The 9338-nt window shown below is 40.0% G+C and overlaps 1 protein-coding gene across 1 annotated transcript in view; it reads right to left on the minus strand.

Moving 5' to 3' along the window:
- Window positions 1-9243, minus strand: part of PON3 (paraoxonase 3) — a 36504-nt gene extending 27261 nt beyond the window's left edge. Inside the window, exons 1-3 of the mRNA NM_000940.3 lie at window positions 9145-9243; window positions 7512-7582; window positions 3022-3077 (exon numbers count right to left, since the gene is read on the minus strand). Coding sequence (NP_000931.1) covers window positions 3022-3077; window positions 7512-7582; window positions 9145-9218 — 201 coding nt within the window. The 5' untranslated portion in view covers window positions 9219-9243. The remainder of the gene's footprint in view (window positions 1-3021; window positions 3078-7511; window positions 7583-9144) is intronic.

A 9338-nucleotide genomic window follows, 5' to 3' on the forward strand; every position in this document is an offset into this window, starting at 1 on the left:
CAGGGCAATTGGACAAGAGAAAGAAATAAAGGGTATTCAGTTAGGAAAAGAGGATGGCAAATTGTCTCTGTCTGCAGATGACATGATTGTATATTTAGAAAATCCCATCATCTGAGCCTCAAATCTCCTTCAGCTGATAAGCAACTTCAGCAAAGTTTCAGGATACAAAATCAATGTGCAAAAATCACAAGCATTCCTATACACCAATAACAGACAGAGAGCCAATCATGAGTGAACTCCCATTCACAATTACTATAAAGAGAATAAAATACCTGGGAATCCAACTTACAAGGGATGTGAACGACCTCTTCAAGAAGAACTACAAACCACTGCTCAACAAAATAAAAGATGACACAAACAAATGGAAGAACATTCCATGCTCATGGATAGGAAGAATCAATAACATGAAAATGGCCATACTGCCCACGGTAATTTATAGATTCAGTGTCATCCCCATCAAGCTACCAATGATTTTCTTCACAGAATTGGAAAAAACTACTTTAAAGTTCATAGGGAATCAAATAAGGGCCCGCATAGCCAAGACAATTCTCAGGAAAAAGAACAAAGCTGGAGGCATCATTGCTACCTGACTTCAAACTATACTACAAGGCTACAGTAACCAAAACAGCATGGTACTGGTACCAAAACAGATATATAGACCTATGGAACAGAACAGAAGCCTCAGAAATAACACCACACATCTACAACCATCTGATCTTTGACAAACCTGACAAAAACAAGCAATGGGAAAATGATTCCCTATGTAATAAATGGTGCTGGGAAAACTGGCTAGCCATACGTAGAAAGCCAAAACTGGATCCCTTCCTCACACCTTATACAAAAGTTAATTCAAGATGGATTAAAGACTTAAATGTAAGACCTAAAACCATAAAAACCCTAGAAGAAAACCTAGGCAATAACACTCAGGACATAGGCATGGGCAAAGACTTCACAAATGGGATCTAATTAAACTAAAGAGCTTCTGCACAGCAAAAGAAACTATCATCAGAGTGAAGAGGTAGCCTATGGAATGGGAGAAAATTTTTGCAATCTACCCATCTGACAAAGGGCTAACATCCAGAATCTACAAGGAACTTAAACAAATTTACAAGAAAAAAACAAAGAACCCCGTCAAAAAGTGGGCAAAGAATATGAAGAGACACTTCTCAAAAGAAGACATTTATGCAGTCAACAGACATGAATAAATGCTCATCATCACTGGTCATCAGAGAAATGTAAATGAAAACCACAATGAGATACCATCTCATGCCAGTTAGAATGGCAATCATTAAAAAGTCAGGAAACAACAGATGGTGGAGAAGATGTGGAGAAATAGGAACACTTTTACACTGTTGGTGGGAGTGTAAATTAGTTCAACCATTGTGGAAGACCGTGTGGCAGTTCCTCAAGGGTCTAGCACTAGAAATACCACTTGATCCAGCAATCCCATTACTGGGTATATACCCAAAGGATTATAAATCATGCTACTATAAAGACACATGCACATGTATGTTTATTGCAGCACTGTTCACAATAGTAATGACTTGGAACCAACCCAAATGTCCATCAGTGATAGACTGGATTAAGAAAATGTGGCACATATACACCATGGAATACTATGCAGCCATAAAAGAGGATGAGTTCATGTCCTTTGCAGGGACATGGATGAAACTGAAAACTATAATTCTCAGCAAACTATCACAAGGACAGAAAACCAGACACTGCATGTTTTCACTCATAAGTGGGAGTTGAACAATGAGAACACATAAACACAGGGCAGGGAACAGCACACACTGGGGCCTGTCAGGGTGTGGGGGGCTGGGGGAGGGATAGCATTAGGAGAAATACCTAATGTAAATGACAAGTTAATAGGTATAGGAAACCAGCATGGCACATGTATACCTATGTAACAAACCTGCACGTTGTGCACATGTACCCTAGAACTTAAAAGTATAATAAAAAAAAATCTAAACTGACAATAGAAAATTTAGGTCAACAAGGAAAAAACTTTTCTAGACCATTTTGTTTTATCCTTGATTTTGATGGAAAAATAAAGAAATAAAATATTGCCCACACAGACTAGCACCAGTTCCAGCAGTGACACCAGCAGCAGTTTAAGGTCCAAATGAGAGCCTCACTCTATTCTACTGTGTGTACTTATGAATTTATAAATTCAGGCCACGGTTATTATAAGTACCCCTTTTTTGGCCAAAAATATTTAAATTCAAAATCCATGTTCTTTGGTGGTATTTTATTGCCCCAAATGGAATATTAGACATCCAATTCCAGCAATCAGAATTCACATTGAAAATGTGGTAAATATACTTTTTCAAAATCATATCCCCATTTCAAAATGCAATTGATTTAACAAATATTAATATATGAAAAATTTCAACATCTCATAAATACACATTTTTTTGTTTGTTTACCGAAATGCTGTCCCTGGTGTAACTTCTTGATTATTCCTGTGAAGACAGTACTGGGAATTAAAATGCAGTCTGTTCTCTATTTCTCTTTGAAAGACTTGTTAAGAATGGCAGGGAACCCAAGATGGAACGTGTTTAGAGTTTTAAATCGAGTAACGTGGTTAATATTCGATCCACAAACATTTGCAGAGCTCCAAATAAAGGCAGACATGGTGAGAGGAATACCAGTTAGTGGGAAGATGACTACCAGAAGCGGAAGCCCAGTCAAATAGGGCAATGATGAGAATGGATAGCAATAGGACAGAACTGGAGACTAGCCTAGGAATCGAGTGGAAATCAATACACATTTATCAAGACCCTACTGAGTATGCCACTACCCCCAGGGAGTTGCCCACCATGAGGCAGTCAAAGCTGGGCATTCCTGTGGTGTTCTAATTAGCCCTCCAAAATTCTGTTTTGGCTTTTTTAGTTGACTGGTTTACCCGGAGGTGGGATGAGAGCATAGGGATCCATCTGGCAGCTCCAGAGGACAACATTAATGCACTGTCTATACAGCTATTGATGTGAGCATGAGAGCAGCATGGAAAATACTCACACTGGAGATAAAAGCCAGCCCACTAGGAAGTATATCAATATCTTCAGAGCCACTTTCTGCAAAAGAAGGGTAGAATCAGAAAAATGCATATATGAAGGCTTAAAAAATACGTCTCACAGTCCAAACTACAAATATCTTTTGGAAACTTCTTTTGGAAATTGTTGACTTGTTCAACCATTTACTTGGGAAACCATATTAACTTTGGAGAATCTCACAGGCATGCTACTCTATAGTAAAGCTTGAGTCAGACTCCTCAAATACTAAATCCTTTTTTAGAACCCCATTTTCAGGAGAAAAAGGCAAATACCTAGAAAATAAACTCATATCCTAGATTTACTCTTTAAGTAACAATTTCCAGGGCATATCCTGAGAGATTCAGCTTTATCCCCCATAGAAGGCTGCTCTATAGACTCAGTGATAAAATCTGGAAAGTCATAATCGTGAAGGTCTTTTATTACAGGCCTCTCTGCCAAGCATTCCTTCTCTTCCAACGTAAAGCCTAAAACGCTACATTATACAATCATATTGGGAAATTATTGAGTAATAAACTAATGAGTATAAATGAATATGAAAGATTACTGAATATTAATATGAAAGTTTAGTTAGATCTTTTTTCTCAGTAAGAGCTAGTTTTCAGCATTTTTTTCTATGGAAAGAGACATATAATAAGTAAGTTTTGACTGAGAACAAGTTGAAAAAGGAGCTGTCACCTACACTACGCCTGCACGACAGGCCCCATGCATCTCAGCAACAATGGCACCTGTGGGAGCAAAAGCCCCCAGGATACCTTCCTCTGAGACTTTCCCACACACTTATTAGCCTATGCACAACTATCATTAAAATCCCACTGCTAAGTCTAAAATCAGTCTTATGAATAGGTGCCTACTGCTTCTTAGCCTGTCAACCCTACTGCTACTTGGCATAACTTCATTTCTTTACTCTTTTCTTCATTTCTCCAGTCATCCCCTACAGGCACTCTGATAAAGGATCACATCAAAGCATTACTATCAGTTAATTTTATTATCGTCACTTCACATCTTGGAGAGAAGTTTCTGATAGCCAGCTAAGAAAACACATGGAACCTATTATGGAGTAGAAGCATATATTGGAGACATGGGAAGCTATAGAATGGAAAGGAGTGGAAGAGAAGATACGTAGGTATTAAATACAGAGGCCACCTACTCGATAATCCTGCCTAGTGAAAGTCCTACTGAAGTATTCATATTTCAAGTGCAGCTTTGATTAGATGTCAAGGGCAGCCAGATAACGTCCTGGTTAAAACAATCCTTGACCCTCAAAAGCCTTGGATAAAAAGATGAACGTAATACAAAAAGATCTATGAGATATGATTTCCAGAGAAAGATATATTTCACCTTTCAACTTTTCTTCCCAGAAAAAAATGCTGGAGAAGGAAAACAAAATAAGAGTTTCTTCTACCAATAAAATAAACCTCAAAAGTCTGGGTCTTGAAAACACAAATAAGAATTTTTCTCCAGCTCTGTTACAGCCTACTATACCCTACCTAAAATCCTTCAGCAGCTTTTCAGGGCTTTGTAAAGCCTCTACTCCTCAACCAGTTGTGATTTGTGAGTATTATCTTATCCATTATCTTAATTTAAATATCTAGACTGCCTTGTTTTGATTAACCTGTATCTAGTAATATTTCAGCTGTTTGCATCTCAGATTTTCTGTTTTCCACTGTTGCAATACTTTCCTGAAGCTTCCAAAATAAAAAATGTGTTGTCAGTAGATCAGAAAGTTAGTGTTACACAACAGAGAGTAAAAAGGCATAGAAGGAAACGATCTTGGCTCATAAGCTAAGCCCATCACCCCCTAGTTCCGGACCATTGGGCAAGCAACTTAATTCTTCTGTATGTCAATTTCCTAATCTGCAAAGCATAGATAGCAGCATCCACTTTACAAATTGGTTATGAGGATGATGTAGATGTTTGTAAAGGACTCAACAGGCTGCTCATAGTCACCAGGCCTTTGATAAAGCAGCTTTTTCAAAACATATATATCAGTATTGTCCTACTGACACATGACCCATCATCATTCTAACTTGTTTAGTTCACCAAACATATGCCAATAGACATGAGAAGTAACATGGCATTTCTTTCTTCTGCTCCCAGCCTGCTTCCAACTATTTAAGCCATTTTCTTCAAAATATTTGGCAAATCAGAACATTGACCTAAGACTCACAATATTAACTGTAATTTTACCTTCTCAAATCTAGTTGAGTGATACAATTCGAGTCAGACTAGACCCTACCAATCATCTAGTCTAATTATACCTCTTGATTATTTGCAGGCTTATATATTTTGACAGTTATTTGTATAGTGAATATGAATACTACTACACCACAAAACAGTAAACAAATGAGTAAATGTCACATTTCCTTATTTTTAAAATCAAATTAAATCACTCTGATATCCTATTCCACTAAGTTGATGGAAAATCCAATCTGAGTCATTACTGGGTTTGTCTGTTAGGGTTATGAAATCATTTTAAGTGGTGGGTTCTAAACCTAAGCAGAATGTTTTGGAAAGGCCATCTGGCATTCATTCTACACTACGTATCATCGAATTATTCATTGCCAAAGTTACTGGTCCCTTTAATTTAGACAATTCTGCTACTTCCATGTAATGCATTGACACAAGGTCTTTACCTTAGCTGGAACACAGGGTCCAGCGTCCCTAAAGATACCTTGCAACCATTCCTTCTGAGGTCCTGCTCCTCTCCCAGAATGCTGTCAGCCAGTGGGGTAAGGATCCCCATTATTCAAAGATATCCACATATTCATATCCCTTCTCCAACAGAATCCCTTGAAGGGGCTCAGGTTTTTAAAAACAATTCAGGAAAGGCGTTTTCTTTGGTTTCTTCTGCTTTCCAGCTGCTAGCACAAACCACCTCTAAGACTAGGGAGTGCAAGGTTCAGATTACTTTATTTTTTAGAAATTGAGAGGCAAGAAAAGGCAGAAAACTCAAATCAAAAGGGTACTTTTTCTGTATTTTTAAATATAGCAATAAAATAGAAAATCATATCCCAAAATAAGCTATCTCATCACATTCTAATAAATAAGTCACAGTTCTTGGCCCTAGGGAGTTTACAATCTGATAGTGAAAGAGAGAACACTGCTAGCTATAATACAAGGCATGTGGCAGGTGTCATAAGTGAATCGGAGCTTCAGAGTGCTGTGAGAGTTCAGAGGAAGGAGATGAATTTTGCAGCTGATTTTAGTAAGCAGAGACAGAGGAATCAGTAAGTTTGGAGGGAATTTCATAAGCAAAGGTGAGAAGGTGAAAGAACATATTCCCAGAACAGGGAACACAATCTAGCCTGATTTTATTTTATTTTTCTGTTAGCAATGTCAGGAAGAATTGGAGCTGTGGAGCCCAAATAAGCAGGTGTGGCATTAACTAGTAGGTGAGATTAGCCCATGTCTCACGTAGAAGCATGAGGGACAAGCGGGGAACAATGGTTCCTGGATTTTGAACTGAATCTTTTGAGAATGGGGGTACCATACATAGGAAAAGTCTAGAAGCAGAGCTGGTTGTGGGTGGGAGGATGAGGGAGAAAACGACAGAAATGTAAAATAGATTTCAGCTTAGGGAGAGTTTGAGCTGGAGCTGCCCTTTAACTGACTAAAAAAGAAGGGCTGCAGTTTGAAAGGTTAGGGACTGGGCCATGGATTTTTTATGAATTTTTTTAAAAGAAGGTAGGTAGGCTGTGAGGTTCCTTCGTTTATTATTTTTTTTAAGACAAAGTCTCGCTCTGTCGCCAGGCTGGAGTACAGTGGCGCGATCTCAGCTCACTGCAACCTCCGATGACTCCCTGGTTCAAGTGATTCTCCTGCCTCAGCCTTCCGAGTAGCTGGGATTACAGGCACACGCCGCCAACATGCCCGGCTAATTGTTATATTTTTAGTAGAGATGGGGTTTCACCATGTTGGCCAGGATGGTCTCGATCTCCTGACCTCATGATCCGCCCCCCTCGGCCTCCCAAGTGCTGGGATTACAGGTGTGAGCCACTGCGCCCAGCCTGCTGTGAGGTTCTTGAGGGGAGGGGCTGAGTCATATTATTTGAAAAAAAATAACACTTGAAGCCAGGAATGACAATAAGGAAAGGGAGGGAGGAAGGAAAGAAGAAAGAAGCAAAAAAAGGAAAGGTAACAGAGGACAAGGAGGAGAGTGAAATACCACAGATGGGAAAGGAGAAGCATTCAGTGAGGGGAAAACCAGGGAGTGGTCAATGACATTCTTTAGGTAATGTGGAGAGATGTCAGTAAGGAAATGTGCTGAGAAAAACCCACAAAGAATGTCATTTAGTACACCCCTGAAGACCTTGCATGGGGCAGAGTGGACGGGGCAGATGTCCCACTGGGAGGGCTTAAGTAGTGACAGGTAATTAAATGAGCTGGTAGGGCTCAGTCAGGTGGATGACGACCAAGAAGCTGTGCTGGCTCCTCTTGGTACTGTCACATACATACCAAGTTCCTCAATAAGGTGGCAGTTTTCAGGTTCTACTGGCTCCACTTCTCGAGAGGCATTCACCCTTTCTCTGTAGAAGATAAAACCCAACCCTGGAAGTCAAGGCACAGCATTCAAAATGTATGTTTAAATGTGGACTTCAATCATCTTCGTGTTGGTTAACTATCTTTATCATAATTTATGAATGACATAACAAGTAAGTAGGTACTTCCTTTCATGTTTATTTACATAATGTAGACATTATGTGGGTATTTTACCTATATCAGCTAACCTTACCCAGTTATTGCTGAAAAACTGTATAATATGATTCAACATGGAAAATTCTGCTGCCCAAATAAAAGACACTATTTAATAGTATGAGTAATTGAACAATATTATTAATTTAAATGCACGAAATAGCCCTAATTTTCTAAAGTATCGTCTGTTATAAATCTGCACTTAATCCCCTACAGTCTTGCCCTTTGAACTTTTCCTTCCAAACTGCTTTCCCAAAATTCAACAGGGTCTCCTAATAGTCAAACTCTATCACTTTTGCTTTAATTTTTAAATTTTATGCTGACTTACTCCGCAAGTATGTAAATTCATTAAACCAACCACAATTTAAACAATTGGCCGATTTATTTTTCAACACAATTTTCTTGTTTCCAGAGTGAAAAGGAATGTTTCCACATTCTTCTAATATCAGGGATAATTTAAAATTTTTATTAAAGTATATTCAGAAAGACTCAATACTTATCTTACAGTCATTTATTTAAAAAAATACCCTTAGATCTACTTTATTATTATTACTATTATTTTATGATTCTCCATGTGGTTGCACTGGGAGCAAATGTAACAATAAAACTCTCAAACTGGAAGTATTACTAATAGGCACCAGGCACCTCAACAGATTCTAGACGTGATCCTCTAAGAAGACCAGCTTCAACTAAGAGAAATACATAAACACTCAAAGACAACTGAAAGCAAGCAGAGGCTTTCGATCCACTCATGAATGTGTATTATCACTTAAAGGTTCTTCTTTCTAGCCCAGTATTGACTTTTCCTGAGACATTTCTAGGCTGGCTATCACCATTGTATCTTCCACTTCAAAAGGTCAAATGCCTACAAAATGCCAGTTACCGCCTGCAGGTTTCAGCTGGTTTGCCCTGCTGTCTGGCCAGCTCTTTAAATCTAGGATAGGTTCCATAACCCAGTACTTCTGCATGGTTAGCCAGACCTGGGCAATGTCTCAGTCAGCCGTAAACATCCAACTGGTAGCCTGATCCTCTCTCCCAAGTCCGGCGTTTCCAATGGACGTCCTTTTTTCCCAAGCAGAATGTTGAGGGCGAGCTGGGAAAGGGGTCATCACGTTCAGAAAGTAAAAGGGGGTCATGACCTTCAGAAAGCAAAGTGGGGGATCATAACCTTCAAAAAATAAATGGGACTAATTCGGCTCGGCAGTCTTTGGAAACGCAAGTAGCTCACTTTCCCCATAAGCGAGTCTCAAGGGGCGGTTTGCTGGGTGAGATGGAGGAGTGAGGTTCCAAAGCTGCTCTTTCCTACCCGCTAGGAAGGGGGCGCCAGGCAGCCCCTGACCTCACTTGGAAGAGGAGAGAAAGAGAGTCGAAGACGCCCTGTCAAGATGCCACTCACCTAAACGCCAGGAACATCTCCCCGACTAAGGACAGGCCGACCCCCAGCAGGACCAGCGCCACGAGCTTCCCCATGGTCTCGGGGTGCCCAGCGGCGACTGCGCGGCGCCGAGAGCTCTCGGGGGCGCGGCGGGCGGTTCCTGCCTCGCGTACGGATTGGGGCCCGCTCGGCCCCGCCCGCACACGCCTCCTACT

This window comes from Homo sapiens, chromosome 7, assembly GCF_000001405.40.
Source record: "Homo sapiens chromosome 7, GRCh38.p14 Primary Assembly".
Classification (NCBI taxonomy): domain Eukaryota; kingdom Metazoa; phylum Chordata; class Mammalia; order Primates; family Hominidae; genus Homo; species Homo sapiens.